The 19,272-nt window shown below is 39.7% G+C and overlaps 2 long non-coding RNA genes across 3 annotated transcripts in view; one reads left to right on the forward strand and one right to left on the reverse strand.

The window, feature by feature from the left end:
* Window positions 1-19,272, forward strand: part of TACR1-AS1 (TACR1 antisense RNA 1) — a 125,490-nt gene that overhangs the window by 65,710 nt on the left and 40,508 nt on the right. The gene's annotated exons all lie outside the window — the stretch shown is intronic.
* Window positions 3,455-19,272, reverse strand: part of LOC107985900 (uncharacterized) — an 85,220-nt gene continuing 69,402 nt past the window's right edge. The window contains exon 2 of the long non-coding RNA XR_001739546.2: window positions 3,455-17,835. This is a non-coding gene — a long non-coding RNA (uncharacterized LOC107985900). The remainder of the gene's footprint in view (window positions 17,836-19,272) is intronic.

A 19,272-nucleotide genomic window follows, 5' to 3' on the forward strand; every position in this document is an offset into this window, starting at 1 on the left:
GGAGCTCTCTTTTAGGAGGTACCCTTGCTTACATTGCTATTTTCTTTCCTTTTTTTTTTTGTTTTCATTATATTTTTTATTGTATATATTTTTGGGGTACAATGTGATGATGTTTTGATACATGCATACATTGTGCAGTAATTAAACCAAACTAATTAACATATTAATTGCCTCACATATTTGTCATTTTTTCCACGGTGAGAACATTTAAGGTCTCCTCTTTTAGCAATTTTCAAGTGTATAGTAGGTTATTATTAACTATAGTTACCATATCGTGCAATAGATCTTCAGAACTTATGACTCTTATCTAACTGAAACTTTGCAGCCTTTGACCAACATCTCTCCATGCCCTCTTCCCCCTAGCCCCTGGTAACCACCACTCTTCTCTCTATTTCTGTGAATTCAACTTTTTTAGATTCTACATATAAGTGAGATCATGTGTGATATGGTTTGGCTCTGTGTCCCCACCCAAATCTCATCTTGAATTGTATTCCCATAATTCCCACATGTCATGGGAGGGACCCAGCGGGAGATAATTGAATCATGGAGGCAGTTTCCCCCATTCTGTTCTCGTGGTAGTGAATAAGTCCATGAGATTTGATGGTTTTATCAGGAGTTTCCACTTTTGTGTCTTCCTCGTTCTCTCTTTGCCTGCTGCCATCCATGTAAGACGGGACGTGCTCCTCATTGCTTTCTGCCATGATTGTGAGGCTTCCTCAGCCACGTGGAACTGTAAGCCCGATTAAACCTCTTTGTTTTGTAAATTGCCCAGCCTCAGGTATGTCTTTATCAGCAGCATGAAAACGGACTAATACAATGTGATAATTTTCTTTCTGTGCTTGGCTTATTTCACTTAACATGATGTCCTCCAACATCCATGTCGTTGCAAGTGACAGGATTTCTTTCTTTTTAAAGGTGGAATAACATTCCGTTCCATTTTGTGTATGTACACACATACGTACATACACATGTACACACACAAAATGGAGTGGGATTATATATATAATTATATAATTATGTATTTATATAAAATTATATATTTATATAAAAATTATATATATAATTTTCTTTATTCATTCATTCATTGATGGACAATTAGGTTGATTCCATATCTTGACAATTGTGATTAAGAGGGAATCCTTGTGCACTGTTGATGAGAATATAAATAGTACAGTGCTTATGAAAAACAGTACGGAGGTTTCTCAAAAAATTAAAAAGTAGAACTACCATATGATCCAGCATTTCCGTCTCTGGATATTTATCCAAATAAATGAAATCAGTATGTTGAAGAGATAGCTGTATTTCCATGTTTATTGCAGCATTATGCATAATTAAGATATGGTTATTATTTTCTTTATTGGGTCATCAGGGCTCACGTCTGGTGGTTGGTGTACCCTAAACAGTGGGCATTAAGGGATTCCCCAGGTCATTAAAAAATTGGGGGGATTAGTGTTAGGGTTAGTTCCTTCCCATCCTTTCACTTACTTGAATCAAGAAGCTGGCAGGTTATCAGAGCTCTGCTGGGATACCTCCAGAAAGCCTCCCTGCCTTTCATTTTGCTGCCTCAGGGCCAGAGAGACCTAGCTCATTCTTCCTTCTCCCTCTAGGCCTTGTGGATAGTAAGGAATCAGTGGTCCACCATGGGGCAGATGGCCACTCCGATTCTCAGATGTTTTTTAAATTTTCCCTCAATTTTATTTTATTTATTTGTTATTGTCTTATTTAATGTTTGTGGGTACATAGTCGGTGTATATATGTATGGGGTACATGAGACATTTTGACTGCCATATCCTACCCAGGCTCCTCTGTCTTGGTCCTCCCTCTGGGTCTCCATCCTGATCTCCCATCAATGCGCAGCCTGCCAGAGGAAGCCCTGCCCAATTCTGTCATTCTCTCAGCCCAACTCTCCAACAGAGCTCTCAAGGCCCACTTACGTCCAGCTGCCCTGAAGTTCTGAAGCCACTTGGCTGATGAAGGACAACATTGGCAGGGAGAGTGATGGCAGCTATGTTTAGGTCCTCATAAGCCGGATGTGGAGGCATTCCCTTCTTTCTCTGCAGAGTTGATGAGTTACTATTAGTCACTGGCTCCCTTCCTTAGCCATCCTTTCATAAGATAAACTGTCTGGTGTGCATTATGTCTTTTTCAAATTAGGTTGTAGTTCCCTGAGAGCAGGAACCATGTTATTCTACTATTCATTTTCTAGCACCTCCTTCCATACAGTGCTTTACTCAAGTGGATGAGCAATACATACGTATTAAACTGGATTGATTTGCATAAAAATAGTTGGTTTTAGGAAGGTAGTATGAGGTGGGATGGCAGCAACAGAACAGAAATCATCAAACTGTAAATCTTCCCAACACAAAACAGGAATAAAAATTAAATAGTAATAACAAGAAGCCAGGAGAAGAAGAGAAAGGCAGCTGGCACTTACACAGTGTCTATATATGCCAGAACTGCTCTACCTGCTTTATGTGTAGGCACCCTGTTTGACCTTTCGTCAGCACTTCTAACTTATAACATGAGTACTGACTGAGTTTATAACTGTATGTGAATGTTATTCCTCTCACTAAGCAACATTTATCTCACTTCAGCCATTTTCCACACAGATGTTTACGTACTGAGCGGTGAGACCCCTCTGTACTGGAGGTGGTGTGGATGGCAGTGTGGTCTGCTCAGCCAGAGTAGGGACAGAGGCTATGATCTGTCCGAAGAGCTGCTACACAAAGGCTTTGTTTATTAGAGGGCCAGAGAGGCATCAGCATGCCTTTAGGGAGTAAATGACCTAGGGATTGTCTGCGTTAGTTTTAGAGAAGAAAGTTGTCACCAACAGGCTTAAACAAATTATTTTCTTTTAGCTGAACTGATTGAGAGTTGCCATTTAAGTGACAATTGGAAGAAAAGAAGCTGTTATTAGGATGGGGGCGGGGGTGGAGCACAAGAGCGAGCAGATGCTCTAGGTCCATTGACATCCGTATTGGGTTGCGGGTACTGTGAGTTTCTGAGATGGAAACTGATATCAGCATGAGTGGAGGATAACAGCATTTTAGTGTATCTATCTGATAAAGAAGAGTATATATGAAAAGTTGAGGAAGATGCAGAGCAAGCATAAGAATCTGAATGTTTCTTTGCAAAGTGGAAGAGAAAGGAGGAATAAAATAAAAAAAATAGGCATGCCTCTTAAAGACTAAGATTCTAGCTAATGAATACACGGTAGGTGAAACATTAATAAATATATTAATTATGGTTTTGTTTTCGCTTCTATTTCCCAGGATTTATAGCTCCAGTGTGATGTCTTCCCTAGATTAGAACTATGAACATATATATTTAAATGTGTCTCTGTTTCACATGTATTACATTTGACAGGAAGAACTCAGTATTAACCAATATTTTCATATGCTGTCATCCCTTTTAAAACACAGAGTATTAAATAAATAAATTGGCTCAATCAGAGTTGTTTTAGAAACAAAATTTATTAACTCACTAATTGTTCTTCTCTTCCAAAAACATAAAAAATTTAAATTTACTCTAAAGATGGTTCTGTTTAAAAATGTCATTTATTATATAAAGAATTAAAATTTTTGAACTGAAACTTCAGGTTAAAATTTTAAGAAATAAACACAAAATTCAAATAAACAAAAAACTATGTCTATAAACAGAAACAGACACCTACAGTAACAGAGATTTAAAAAATAAGAGAAAACTGCATAATACCGAGTATAACGACTTACATTGATAAATTTTAAACACTTGATTTGTGGTCTTGTCTCTTTGTATCTTGTTTCCTGATACAAAGAAATTAATGGCTGGAAACCAATATCCTCAAATCCTGAACCAGTCACCTATTGGATCCCATGTTACTGAATGACAGATGTATATATGGGACCCTAGGCAGATGGACATTATTACTAGGGCTTTGGCATCAAATCCTTGCTGGCAGAGGTATAAATTGACATAAACTCTCTGGAGGACAATATGACATTAGGTATTAAAAGTCTTAAAACAATACTTACCCCTTTGATCCAGTGACTTTATTTTTAGGTTTTTATTCTCAATAAAAACCAGGGACTTTTGTTTAGGAAGGCTAACTGCAGTTTTATGTGTAATAGGAAATTATAAAAATAAATTAAATATTCAATAATAGAAGCTTGGGGTTGCTTAATTCATGGCATATGCTTATAATGAAACATAAACTATCCATCAAAAATCATATTTTCAACCTTAATGATGTGGCAAAGATGTTTGAGAGTGGCAGGGTACCAAATAGTGTCTGTAATTTGATTCATATTCTGTAAAAAATAAGTACTTATATTACTTACGAGAGAAAACACTGAAAAGAGACCCACTAAAAATTAGCAGGGTAATATGAAACAATTAAAATGTTCTTTTCTCTACTTTTCAGTATTTTCCAAATCTTTAATGATTAACATTTTTAATATTAAGTAAAATTTTAAAAGTGACATTCTCTAAAATTATTAAAGAAAATCAGGGATACATTCTGGCAACCTGTACTATAAAAATCGATGTGGCTGAAGTGATTCCCTTAACTCATGAAACTATCTTCTGGAAAATGGCAAAACTATCCTGTTGCAAAATCCCTCTGTACAAAACTGGTTTCGCTCTTGATAATTGTTTGCTTGTTCCTTTGTTTTGGCTCCTGGATGTGACAGGTGGCAGGCCTGAGCATGAGGCCTTTTGAGGTCTCTGGGCAAATTGAGTTTCAGGCAACCAGTGGCTGGGGGAAGTGGTTAACCTTGTCACATGAAGCCATCTTCTGAGCCATATCCAGCTGGAGTGATGTCTCAGATCCTGGATGTTATAGACACTCTTTAGGATGGCTACATGTTTTGGCGCTTTGCCATCTTCTCAAGTTTTGCAGATGCAGCTATTTAGAGTTAAACTCATTCATCCCTCAGCACTGGAGGCACCACACTAGGATCTGGGAAGACATTGAAACCTGTCAGATAGCATCGGTTCCCACTCCAGAGCAACTGTGAAGAGGCTCTGCTATACATCTATTCACGCTGGACACCAGTTTTTGACTTGGAAGGATGGTAATTAGGTCTGCCTGGTTCAGATGCTGCTCCATAACATGAATTGGAAAAATTGTAATCTTAAAATTGTATCCATTTCATTTATTATCAAAGTAATTCATAATAATCTTTAAAATTACATATGGAAAAGGGCAATAACAGGAAAAGTGATCACCCTGCCAACAGTGCTGCCTTTGGACGGCCCTCCAGCCAGTTGCTGGCTGAGGGATTTCCCTTTGCATCACTCCACATGCTCCTCTACCTTAATGGGAGGATACCTGATCGAGCTCATGCAAATTCTGGAGCCCCAGACCAGACCTACTGAATCAGAAACAGAGTTGAAGGAGAAGGTGCTAGTATAGGGGAGGGACACAATTTGTGTTTTGATAAACCCTTCAGGCGATTGTGATATATGCTTAAGTTTAAGATCCAGTTTGGGGTGTGGTAGCAAATGCCTGTAGCCCCAGCTACTTAGGAGGCTCAGGTGAGAGGATCACTTGAACCCAGGAGGTCGAGGCTACAGTGAGCTATGATTGTAACACTGCATTCCAGCCTGGGGGATGAAGTGAGACTCTGGCTCTGAAAAACAAAAAATGTTTAAGATCCATCATCCTAAAGTCAAAGACGTTTTCTTATACAATGAAAATAACATTGTCATATTGTCATGTATTTAACACTAATACAACAGTCTATTATCTGTTATCTAATTGATGGTGTACTTTTAATTTTTCCAATCATCCTAAAATGTCTTTTTTAGCTTTTTTTTTCCTGATGCAGACCCAATCATGTACCGTACGCTGCATTCATTTGATTGTCATGTTACTTTATTTTCTCTAATCTTGAATACTCCTCTGCCTTTATTATTATTTGAAAAAAAAAACCTTTCAGTGAATTTGGTATTTTTTTTGTTTGTGTTTTTGAGAAAGGTCTTGCTCTGTTGCAAGACTGCTTTACTCTTTTTATAGAGACAAGGTCTCACTATGTTTCCCAGGCTGGTTTCAAACTCCTGGGCTCAAGGGGTTCTCCTGCCTTAGCCTCTCAAACTGTTGTGATTATAGGTGTGAGCCACACTTAATAAAATGTTTCTTAATGCAATCATGATGTAACAATCAGACACTTCCAGACTGTAAGACATTCTGTAAGACTACTGGCATGGACTTTTCAAAAAATACTGTAGAGAAAACTGTTGCTCCCACTACATTTTCAGTCTCTCCTTCATGTCTCAGAAATTGAAAAGTCATCAAAATTAAATTTGCCTGAACTCAGCTTACGGAATTTTCTAGAACAGTGCTGGGGATGAAAATGGTTTGGGAGTTATTTTGTTTTCTACTTTTCTCCACGTTCTGGTTGGAATTCTGCCATGATTAATGGAGAACATAATTAAATATTTGTTATCAGCCACGACCTTTAATGGGGTAGTGTTTGCCCAGTCAAGGGTTTTTCCCTCCTACTATTTCCATGAGATATCAACAGTCACAACAGCTGTCTCTACCTTTCTATAATCTGTTCAGTGCATTTGAACCTCAACAATATAAGATTAGTAATCATTATCTGTTCATTCAACAAATATTCAAGTGCCAGATTCTGTGCTACACATACAGTAGATAAGTATGATTCCTGTTCCGAACAAGAGAGACATATAAAAAGGCAAGTACAATATAGCATGATACATGTAATATTAGGGGAAGCATGGAGCACATACAGGGAACCTGGCCCTGAGCTGGAGAGTCAGGGCAGGTTTCACAATGGGGTGACATCTGAGCTGCCTATGCCATGCTGCAGTAACAAACAGCCCCCACATCCCAGTGGCTTAACTAATGGAGGTTTATTTCTTGCTTCTGTAAGAAGCATTCTAATTACAGTTCCTTGGTCAGAACTAGTCACATGGTCCCCCTGAGCTGCAAGGAGCTTAGGAAGGGTGATTGTCACGAGCTCGGAAAGGAGGACTGTGAAACAGAATTTTGAATGGCATTGTCTCTGCCTCAATCCATCTTTCTGGCTACCAGATACCCATTTTATTCTCTCTTCCACACACAGAATACAGTCAATTCAGTATCTCAGCCAGTTACTGTACCAAATTCAAAGTCCAGGATTTCTGGATAAATTAGATGATTAAGAATATGGTACAGCACGCATATTTAAATGTTTCTAGGTATGAATATATTGACAGATTCTCAGATGAACTAAAAATAGATGAGTATCTGTTCTTCCACCCTACACCAAATATGCAATTGTAAAATAAGACAGGGGAAATCACAATAAACATTCTTGTTTAGAAGGGAGAAGGATAGGAAATACATAGCAGTCACTAGTCCATGGCAATTCGGAAATCCTCCTGGGCAGACTTTATGGGATGCCTTTCACCTAAAGCAGTGATTCCCAGCCAGGGACAATTTTGTCCCTTAGGGGACATTTGGCAATGTCTCCAGACATTTCTTTTTGTCACAACTGGGGAAGAGAATCTACTGGCATCTAGTGGGTAGAAGTAAGGGATACTGCTAAACAACTTGCAACGCACAGGACAGCCCCCATCCCTTAACAAAAAAATTACTGAGTCTAAAAGTTCAATAAAGCCAAGGCTGAGAACCCTGAGCTTGGGATAAGAAGGATTCCTTGAGTAGACCCTGCTCTTGCTTCTTCATCCACTGTGGCTTTGGGTCTTAGTTCTTACTTTTTGGAGCCTTGTTCTTTTCTCCCCATTTTTCTTCATGGTCACATCTAAATGGAGCATTGAGGAGTATTTCTCCTTGAGTGTAGCACAGATGTTACCTCTGTAAAATGAGGGACCCAAGTGTCATTTAAAAGTCTTGAACAGTCATAATTTTCTTTTTTTCCTAATTCTTGGTTTCTTTGACAGCTTAACTGTTTCAAAAACATATCTGATTCTTCTCAGTGTCTTGTGTCTGTACTTATACCCAAAGTTCTTTATAAGACATGTGTATTAGCCAGGGTTCCCTAGAGGGACAGAACTAGTTGGATAGATGTATATATGAAGGGGAGTTTATTAAGGAGTATTGACTCACACAATCACAAAGTGAAGTCCCAGCATAAGACATTTGCAAGCTGAAGAGCTAGGAAGCCAGTCTGAGTCCCCAAACCTCAAAAGTAGGGAAGCTGACAATGCAGCCTTCAGTCTGTCGCTGAAGGCTTGAAAGCCACTGACAAACCACTGGTGTAAGTTCAAGAGTCCAAAAGCCGAAGAACTTGGAGTCTGATGTTCAAAGGCAGGAAGCATCCATCATGGGAGAAAGACGAAGGCTGGAAGACTCAGCAAGTAGGCCTCTCCCACCTTCTTCTGCCTGCTTTATGCTAGCCACCCAGATTGAGGGTAGGTCTGTGTCTCCCAGTTCACTGACTCAAATGTTAATCTCCTTTGGCAGCACCCTCACAGACACATCCAGGGACAGTACTTTGCATCCTTCGATCCAATCAAGTTGACTCTTAATATTAACCATCACAACACGCTTCTCATACGTGTTCTCTATTTTTGCTTTTTCATCCCCTGCAAGCTGTCTTAATGGAGAAGGTCTTGAGTGTCTATTGAAAGGCTTCACATTTAGCCTCATCTCTGACCCAAGACTGAATTTTAAGAGGCTTTTGCCACCACTCAAAGACTTTTTTTTTTTTTAACATTGTTATCTCTTCCTATTTGAGGAATAAAAGAAATTGGCTTTTCCAGTCCTTCAAAGCTACGAATTTCTGAGCTGTTTGTTCTTCATTTCTGCTTAATTTCCTGATTCCAACTCTTTTTGTAATTCCTCGCCAAATGCAGCAAATAACAAATAACACAGATTATTAAATTTCTTCTTTCCAGTGTCTTCCATTCGAGCTGAACAACTTCACTAGGGAAGTCTTTTCCAAGTATTCACAGACAACAATTTTACTAAATATTTTCAACTTTATACATGGATTAATGTTTTCCCAGCATTGAATATCTATTTTCTTACCTTTGCTACCCATCTGCTAAGCCAATGGCACATATATTAGTTTTTACTGTGGTAGTATCCAACTCCTGACACCATTTTCTGTATTAGCCAGAAAATACTAGGCGATGCTATGGTCAGGAATATTTCCAAAGCTTAGTGGGTTAACAACAACAACAACAACAACAACAACAACAACAACAAAACCTCTTGTTTTTTGCTCACAGAAAGCCTGCTGTCGGCTTGGATGACTGACTCTTTTTTTTTGTAGTCACTCAGAGATGCTGCCTCTTCAGGCTTAAGGCTCTGCCTTCTCAACTTGAGACCTCTGAGTTTGCAATAGCAGGTGAAGCAAGACATGAGAATCGGGCAGAAGCTTTCATTGCCACAGGCTGGAAATGACACACATCACTTCTAATCACATTTCATTGGTAAAAGCTAGTGATATAGCTTTCCCTAATATCACAAGGGCTGAGAAGTGTACTTTTCCATGTGCCTAAGAAAGGGAAATATTAAACAAGATTTTATAAACATAAAATATTGTCTCCACTTAGCCAAAAACCTGAAGAGTTGTAAGTAGTTAATGAGATAAAAGGAATGGAATGGGAGAAAGAGTATTCCAGGCAGAGAGGATTATGTATGTGAAAGCCTGGAGACTAAAAAGAATGTGGATCATTGAAGGAATTGACAGAAGTGTTCTGTGGCTGAAATGCTGTGAGGGCAATATTGGGAGAAGGAAGAGAAGAGAGTAAAGAAAACCCAGATAGGGGCTCTCATTGTGCTGAGCTTTGTTAATTCATATTAAGGAGAAAGGAATTCATTCAATGTCAAAGTGGGCATTTTAAGCAGGAGAGTGATAACTTCACAGATATATATTAGAAAAAATATTCTGGCTTCTTAGAGTCCAGAATGGATTGGAGTGGGCAAGACAGGAGGCAGGGATCCAGTTAAGAGATTCTTGCAAGGGACTGCCTGAACTTGAGTAGTTTTAGAGAGGATAGAGTGACGTGGATGAGTTTGACAGAGTCATGGGAGGCAGAGTCAATAGAAACTGATGAGTTATTAGCTATAAACAGGTGGTAGAGTCAGAGACGAGACCTGAGTTTCTGATTGTGCTATTCGGTGGACTGTGACATCATTTGCTGATGGAAAATACAGGCAGAAGTGCCAGCACTCAGACACAGGCACCCCATCCTGTCAGTTTTTATAGTAGAAAGCTGGCCTGTTGTTGATGACAGAAAGACTTGACAATTATATTAGCCACTGAGCATCAGGAGTCAAGGCCTTATTTCAGAACCCCCACTCCTCTGGGAGTTTTGGGGGGCTACTCATTCTATAGGAATAAAATAGGGTGCTTATCAGTGTCAACCATATCCTAATGAGAAGTTGAAGATCCCCACCCATAATGACTCTATGTTAGTACAGTCACTTTGGAAAATAGTGTTACTTACAAAAGTTGAACATATACTATGATAATTAATTTTATGTCTCAGCTTGGCTGGACCATGCTGTTCAAATATGTGGTCAGACATTATTCTGGATATTTCTGTGAGGGTGTTTTGGATGAGATTAACATTTAAATAGGTGGACATTGCAGCTGATGGTCTTTGGACCTGAACTGTATGCTTGGCTCTTTCCTGAGTCTCCAGCCTGCTGGCGCATCTTGTAGATTCTGAACTTGCCAGCCTCCATAATTACAAAAGCCAATGTCTTAAAACAAATATTTTTATAACTATATAGACACACATCCTACCAGTTCTATTTTTCTGAATAACTTGGTCTAATACATATGCTAACTATACAACCCAGTAATTCCACCCTTGGGTAGGTACCATGGAGAAAGTGGAGAAGATGAATAGATGCACAGACAAAAATGTTGACAGCAACATTGTTCATAGTTGTCCCAGTAACTACACAAATGTCCATCAGCAGTAGTATATATAGACACATTGTGCTATGGCCATACAATGGAATAATATACAGCAATGAGAATGAATCAACTAGAATAACACACAAAAACATGAATGAATCTTATGAACATAATGCTGAATGGAAAAAAAGCAAGCTATAGAAGACTATGCACAATAAATTTCCTCTATATAAATTTAACAACATGAAAAAGTAAACTATAATTTTAAGGATGCATATTTAATTAGTAATAATTTAAAGAAAAAAAAGCAATTACCAAAAAAATTCTGGGTAGTATTTATTTTTAGGGTGTATGAAAAGGAACATACAGGAGATTTGCAATGTTCTATTTCTTGTCCCATGTGGTGGTTATGTGAGTCTTCACTTATACTTATCCAACATACTACTCTTTTATGTTTAAGACACTTTAGGTGTTTTCTTTCATAATGTAAAAAAGAAATATAGTTTTCCGATATTCCCTCTAATTTTTTTTCAGTCAGAGGATGGTTTATCCCAGCCATTGGAACTGATAAATTATTCCCATCCTGTTCCCTGCAGAATAATATGTGTGTGTGTGTGTGTGTGTGTGTGTGTGTGTGTATGTGTGTTTGTGTGTGTGTTGGGGGTGGTTCTCTGCTAACAGAGATAAGACCTTGCCTTGTCTACCCCCTGAAAGCATTAATGACCTCAACATGATCTCAAATTGCTGGGCCATATTTGCTTTGACTTCTACCACTAAAGCCTGAAGCAGGGTTTCTGTATCTTGTGATTTTTCTTCTGTTCATTTGCTTCTCCTGATTAACTGTGACAGTGAAAATCTAAAGAGGCCTGGAGACTTTAAAGCAGTTTGAGTAACCACAGTAGCATGTCACTGTTTATAGCGTCTGTTGTCACAAGTTCCAAATAGGCCTGCATTAGCCAGTCTTCAAATCTACTGGCCCTTTTTCACTATTTTTTGTAATGATTACTTTTGGTATGGGTCCAGCTGGGGGTGGTTTTGCCTGGACTGTGATGCCGTGTTAAATCTCCACCTGCTTTTTAGCAGTCAGTCACTTCAAGGCTCCAATGACCTCTAATGGAAGAAACACTGACTTTGTGATTTTTGTTCTCTTCCTTGTCTCAGGGATGTGCCATTATGGCACTGTCTTAGTCTGTTTGGGATGCTACAGAAGAATACCATGATCTGGGCAGCCCACAAACTGAAGCTTGTCTCTCCAAGTTGTGGAGGCTGAGAAGTCCAAGTCAAGGCACCAGCTGACTTGATGTCTGGCGAGGGCCTACTTCCTGGTTCATAGATGGCAACCTCTTGCTGTGTCCTTGCATGGTGGAAGGAGTAAGGCAGCTTTCTGGGACCTCTTTTATAAAAGCACTAAATGCCATTCATGAGAGTTCTGCCCTCATTACCTAATCACCTCCCAAAGGCCCCACCTTCTAATACCAACACATTGGTAATTAGGTTTCATCATATGAATTCTGGGGGTACACAAACATTCAGACCATGGCAGGCACCATCTCAGCAGTGCATTCTAACCCAATTTTGAAATCTTCTTCTGCATGAACTGGGAGTCACTGAGTCTCCAAACATGTCCACCTGGTGTACCGTTTGCTTCTCCTCCAGGCGTCACTGCTTTCCCTCTTGCCTGTCACAGAAGCTCATCCCAGGGGATTCAAAGGGCGTTTGAATTGATCCAAATTTACTTGCTATCATAAGTCCTTTTTCCAGCTCCAGGAAAGACCCCATTAAAAATAATTTCATAAATTTGGTTTCTTTTGATACTGGCTTCTAGGACTTCTCTTCATTTAATAATTTTCCCTCTTAACGCTATTCACAAATTTGTGAAGGTCCAACTCTGTGTCCGCCATATCAAGCCCAATCAGTGTTCTCCCCCAGGAAGTTAACTAGCTTCATTTTTTTCCTTCCTTGGGGAAAAAAGGAAATGGGACCAGCCTAATCTTTGAACATTGGCACATATTTCAAGACATGACTCTGCCAGTGGTCAGGCAGCCATGATGCAGATGCCCTCCTGGATTTATTCTATGAATAGTGATTGTTTTATTCTGCAAATGGGCACCATGTCAGAATTCATCAAAAACCTTGGGTTAGATCCTCCAATGTGTAACCTCTGTTCACAGAGACCACACTTTATTTCAGGGTCATATTAACTACAATAATCTGATTACACTGGATCCTGGCCTCTCCTTTCTTAAAAGGACCTCTAGACCCTGAAAACTCCCAGTTATTTCCACAGACTCTCTCATCAGGGCTTATTAACAAATCCTTCTGGCTACCACATAGCACTTGCTATTTCCTTTACCCTTCTCTAGCCTTCTTTAATGAGGCCTGTGTAGTTCTCTGCCCCAGCTACCCACCAATGAGCTGCCACCCTCAAGACTCTCTGACCATAAGAGTAAGAAGAAATTGGGGGCATTATCCATATTCCTCTTTTGTGACACTCTTTGCACCCCAGTGTCTGAGTCTTTCAGTGAAATAGTGCCTTCCATTTCTGTCTGCAGCCGCTTTCTCCTCAGGGCTCACATGGGGGTCGCCACAGAAGTTAATTTCTATTCTTCTTCATAGCCTTCTTCTTTCTCATCATTCACCAACTCCCATAAGTTCTAAAATCAGCCCTTTGGACATGAGACTTGTATTTTACTTTAAAGCTTTTTCTATGTTAAGCTGCTTCTTCACGAGGAGAGGAAATTGAAACACTATGACAATAATAGGAAGAAGAAGAGAAATCTCTAGGATCCAAGTAATCCTTCTAATAGCAATACATTAATCTTGTCTGGCCATTTGAAAGTTTTCGGTTCTGGTTTGAGGATAATGTTTGGCAAATAATTTAAGAAATCGACTGGACGAAGGCTTCATGAATGATCCATGTTCTCTTTAGATACAAAATTAACACAGAGCTGTATTGTGGAGATAAAGGGCAGGAAGCCATGGTGGTAATCAGTGGACATAGGAAGTGACTCTCTGAGGAAGAATATAATTATGTAGGAATAGCAACAACAAGACGTCTCTGCCCGTGATTATAATTGAGTTCCCTCCACTTGCCAAAATACAGAGTGTTGTCAGAAGGAAAGTAGGCTGGACAGGCATGAGCTACAGGGATTTCTGGAAAGTGAGAGGTGAAGAAATTGCAGTTCAGACAGCTAGGGGGGCTTGGTTCAGGCTGGGGGTGCCTGTGTAGTAAGACAGTTACGGTTCTTCAGGTTAGCAACAGTAAGAGCAGGGCCTGAGGGCTTGCTCTGTCCCTGGGCTGACCTAAGGGCTCTCCCTGTCCCTGGTGGTGGGAGTAGGTAGAATGGACAAGGTATCAGAGCATCCATGGTCTTCCCCAGCTGGGATGCCAAAAGGTTCTATGTGGCCTGCTGTGGGTTGGCGTCAGGTACTTTCGTGAGGATGCATCATTTCCTGCACTCACGAGGAACAAATAGTTTGCCTTTCATGCTCCTTCTTTCTCTAGCATTGCTTTTAGATGACCCTTTTTACTCAAATTTCTATCTCATCATGCCCTTACTTTTGGCAAAAACTCGACTGAATGTGTGTTTGCCTGAACAATGGATGACACAATGCCATTTAGAGCAGTTTCCAAAGGTGGCAATCATAATTTAATGCTTCTTAGTCACTGTGGAAATATAGGGCTTTATCTCTGCTTGACAGAAGGTTAGAGCCTAAAGGAATCTTAGAGATCATCTTCTTCTGTTTGATGCCCTGTAGTTTAAAGTTTATCAATCCAACCATTATTTATTGACTTTCTACCATGTGCCAGGTAATATGCCAGATGTTGGGGACAGAGATAAACAAGACAGAAATAATTCCTCCACTAATGAGATTTATAGACAACAGGTGAGGGCAAAATAGGGTGCTATGGGATTTCACCAAACCTTGTCTTGGGGGATCAGGGAAGGTTTCTCAGAGCCAGTGATATATGAGCTAAGACCTGAAGAATGAGAAGTGGCAGCCAAGCAAAGGGAAGACAGGAAGCCACAGCCCAGGAGAAATAAGTGGCTTTTTAAGGGGAGAGCCAGGACTGTTTCTCAAACCTTCAAACTCCCAGTTCCTTGTTTTTTCTTATTCTGGGCATATCCTAAGCAGTGGAATTAACGAGAAGAAATCACATCACCTCCCTTCAATAATTCCATGGTCTAATAGAGAGATTGATACATAAGTTAACACAACACAATAAGTGCCATGATAGCTCCCAGCACAGGGAGCACCTCAATGCATGCAAGGGTGACACTTAATTCAAGCTGGAGTAGAGAAGGGGAATCAAACACAACTTTCCTGAGGAGGTGACTCTGAACCTGAATTTTCAGTAAAAAGTAGGTGGTTACCAGGTAAAGAAACTGAGGAGAGCAATTTAGGTAGATTTTGTTGGGAAGACCCAGAAGCATCTAATCCCATGGCATATTTAAGGAATTACGAGTCATTCAATATGACTGGAGTGTACATGTCTGTGAAAAAGGGGAGGGAATTAAGGAATGGAACTGGCAGGCAAAAGCCACATTCGGGAGGATTTGCAGTGGATTGTGTTAAACAGTTAGAAGTTATCCTTGAGACAGTAGGAGCTAATGGATGACTTAATTTGGGGCTAATCAGATTTACATCCCTGAAAGAGCATCTTATCAATAATATGGAGAATGTATGGGAAAGGGTAAGTTTAGGAGCGAGGAGACTAGAGCAAGAGCCACTGGAGGAATTCTAACTTGAGACTGTGGTTGTCTGAGTTAAAGCAGTGGGGATGATGGGAAGTGGAGGGTTTTGAGAAATACTTAAGGGTGGAATTAAGGTGACCAGCTTGTCCCAGTTTGTCTTGGATTTTCCTTTTTTTAGCACTGAAAATCCAAAATGCTGGGAACCCTTCAGTCCTGGGCAAACTGGAATGATTAGTCATCCTCGTGAAATCAACCGAACCCCCAAGAGAGACGGAGAGGTAGAAAGCAAAGTCAAAGATGACTTACTTCTAGGACTTTAAATTGGAAAGCTTGACCAATGGTGGCACCATTTATTTATTTATATGTTATTTATTTATATGCTATTTTTATTTCACTTTTTCTTTTAGATTCAGGGTGTACATATGCAAGTGTGTTACAAGGTATACTGCATGATGCTGAGGTCTGGGTTTCTAATGATCCTATCGCCCAAGTTGTGAACATAGTACACAATAAGTAGTTTTTAAACCCATACCCACCCCTCCCCTTTTTAGGAGTCCCCAGTGTCTATTGTTCCTATCTTTGTGTCCATGTGTACTCAATGTTTAGCTCCCACTTATAAGTGAGAATAAGCAGTGTTTGGTTTATTGTTACTGTATTAATTTGCTTAGGATAATAGCCCCCAGGTGCATCCATGTTGCTGTGAAGGATATGATTTCATTCTTTTTTATGGCTGGGTAGTATTCCATGGTTATATGTACCATATTTTATTCATCTAATCCACTGTCGATGAACACCTGGGTTGATTCCATGTCATTGCTATTGTGAAGGGTGCTGCAATAAACATACAAGTACATGTATTTTTCTGGTAGAATTATTCACTTCTGTTGGGTATATACAAAGTAACGGGATTGCTGAGTCGAATAGTAATTATATTTTTAGTTCTTTGATAAATTACCAAACTTTTTCCCACAGGGCTAAACTAATGTGCATTTTCACCAACAGTCATAAACATTCCCTTTCTCCACAGCCCCACCAACATCTATTACTTTTTGACTTTTTAATAACCATTCTGGCTTGTGTGAAGCAATATCTCATTGTGCTTTTGATTGGCATCTCTCTGATGATTTGTGATGTTGAGCATTTTTTCATATGTTTTTTAGCTGATTGTAAATCTTCTTTTGAGAAGTGTCTGTTCATGACCTTTGCCCAGTTTTCAATGGGAGTTTCTTCTTGATTTCTTTTTTTTTTTTTTTTTTTTTTTTTGAGACGGAGTCTCGCTCTGTCGCCCAGGCTGGAGTGCAGTGGCGGGATCTCGGCTCACTGCAAGCTCCGCCTCCCGGGTTCACGCCATTCTCCTGCCTCAGCCTCCCAAGTAGCTGGGACTACAGGCGCCCGCCACTACGCCCGGCTAATTTTTTGTATTTTTTAGTAGAGACGGGGTTTCACCGTTTTAGCCGGGATGGTCTCGATCTCCTGACCTCGTGATCCGCCCGCCTCGGCCTCCCAAAGTGCTGGGATTACAGGCGTGAGCCACCGCGCCCGGCCTCTTCTTGATTTCTTTAAGTTCTTTATAGATTCTGGATATTAGTCCTTGGTCCAATGCATAGTTTACTCATGGCGATGGTGAGATGCAGCTTAGAATTAAACTCTCAAAAGGATGCCTTGGGCTTACATCCAGGGAGAATGGGGCAATGCTCCGGCAAGCAGTATGGGCAAGAAGCTGTGGGGAGTGTGGTTCACTCACATGTCAGCCAGTTTCACAGCAGCCTGTTGCAGAGCAGTGAGTATCGTCCTAGATATGAGTAGGATGACCTGGTCTCCCTGTCCCTCCTTAGCCAGGCAGTGGTTGCAGCTGCATCAGCCTGAGCTCAGGCTGAAGATAGGGGACAGTCCAGAGTTAAACTCTCAAAATAGAGCCTTGGGCTTGGGACCAGAGAGAGCCAGGGACCACCCAGGCTGGCAGCATGAGCAAGAAGCTGTGGGAAGTGTGGTCCACTTGAGTCTCAGTCTCAACAGATGATTGTAGCAGGGGAGCAAGTCCCTGCCTGAGTGTGCATGAGTGCACCCATTTTCCTTTCTCTCTCCTTGGAGCAGTGCAATGGCTGCAACCATGTCTGTAAATCTCCAGTATCTGGGGTCAAAATGGCACCCAGCTGAGGCTGCTCCAGGCTCAGATGCCTGCGGAATTCTGTGTGGTTTCTGTTTCTGGAGCAATATCTCTGTGCAAACTTTAGGCAGCTCCACATGTGCCCTTGCACTTCCTACTTTTGGAGAGACCTGTAGTGCCAACTGTCACATCCATATCTTGTGTCCTAGATAGTAAAGGAGAAGATCAATTGCCAGTGATGGTCAATTATAAGCTAGTTGAAAAAAGTGATGTGAGGCAATAGGGACACAATTAGACTTTCTGGTTTATAAGAGCATAAACTTGAAACAATGCTTTATCTTTCACTCAGCTCTACCAGAAGTGCCTCATTACACACCCTCATTCTCAGGACCAAATCTATTTTGATTAACTTTTAACTAAGAAAAAGAGCTGTCAACATGAATCCTTAAAATTATTTGTGTCTCTAAAAGACAGCTGAACTGTAGTAAATATTTAATACTAAAAGCACAAAATGGACAAATGTTCAAATTAATAAATTTTTCTTCTGACTCCCATTAAAGAAAATAATAAATCCAGAATTTATGAAGCAAGTTTTGTTTAAGCATCCTTCAAAAATACACTGTAGATGCTTTACTTTATTTTTCTAAATTTTGCATTTTAGAAACTTTTAAAACTATAGAAATAGTGAAAGAATAGTGTAATGAACTCCTACATATTTTTAATTTACACTTATTCATTATTAATATTTTGTCACCATTACTTATTTACCTATGTCATCTATCTACAGATATATATATTTCTGGCCAAATTGTTTGAAAGTTGAGTGCAGACATCAGAACAGTTCATATCTAAATACTTCAACCCATATCTCATAAGAACAAAGCCATTCTTACACATGTGCTATCTTTACTAGGTATTTTTCAAGATTGTTGAAAGGATAGAATGATATAATATGTTTAAAAGTACCTTTCAATAAAGTTTACTTTATTAAACTTTAGGAGCTCAACCACTACAAACATTATTCTGAGCTTTATAGACCCCAGTTTACCTTATCAGCAAACTGTTTTTAAGTCTCACATAATTTTCTTACTGCTTGATGATTTTATTTTTAACTCTGAAAAACCTTGACTTTATTCTGAGTATAGTGTGACAGATATAAACATTGTCATATTTCAAGTAACACATCAATTGTCTCAGCATCTCTTACACAATATTCCTCCCTTTCTTTTGACCCTGAATTATAGCAGTCTCTTGCGCGCACACACACACACACACACACACACACACATACACAAACTCCTCACTTGACATGGTTCTGATATGCATGGATTTTAGTTACCATGGTTTGATTAAATGACACCAGTCTCCTAACAACATAATTAAATTTCAGTTATCATGGTATATCGTGAGTGCTTGTATAAGGTACAAGTTTCAGCCCACAAATGACTACATTAAAAAAAAATGTGCATCATCATCCATGATCAGCAACATTCTTTTAAATTCTGTCTATGACTAGTCACTGTGCAACTGTTATTCAGTCTATGTACACACAGAAAAGTGTGAAGTTTTAGTCCCTCCTTGTCTCACAATGATAAATACGTGATGTTTTACAAAAGATGAATAATAAAAAGAAGAAATTCGC

This window comes from Homo sapiens, chromosome 2, assembly GCF_000001405.40.
Source record: "Homo sapiens chromosome 2, GRCh38.p14 Primary Assembly".
NCBI lineage: Eukaryota > Metazoa > Chordata > Mammalia > Primates > Hominidae > Homo > Homo sapiens.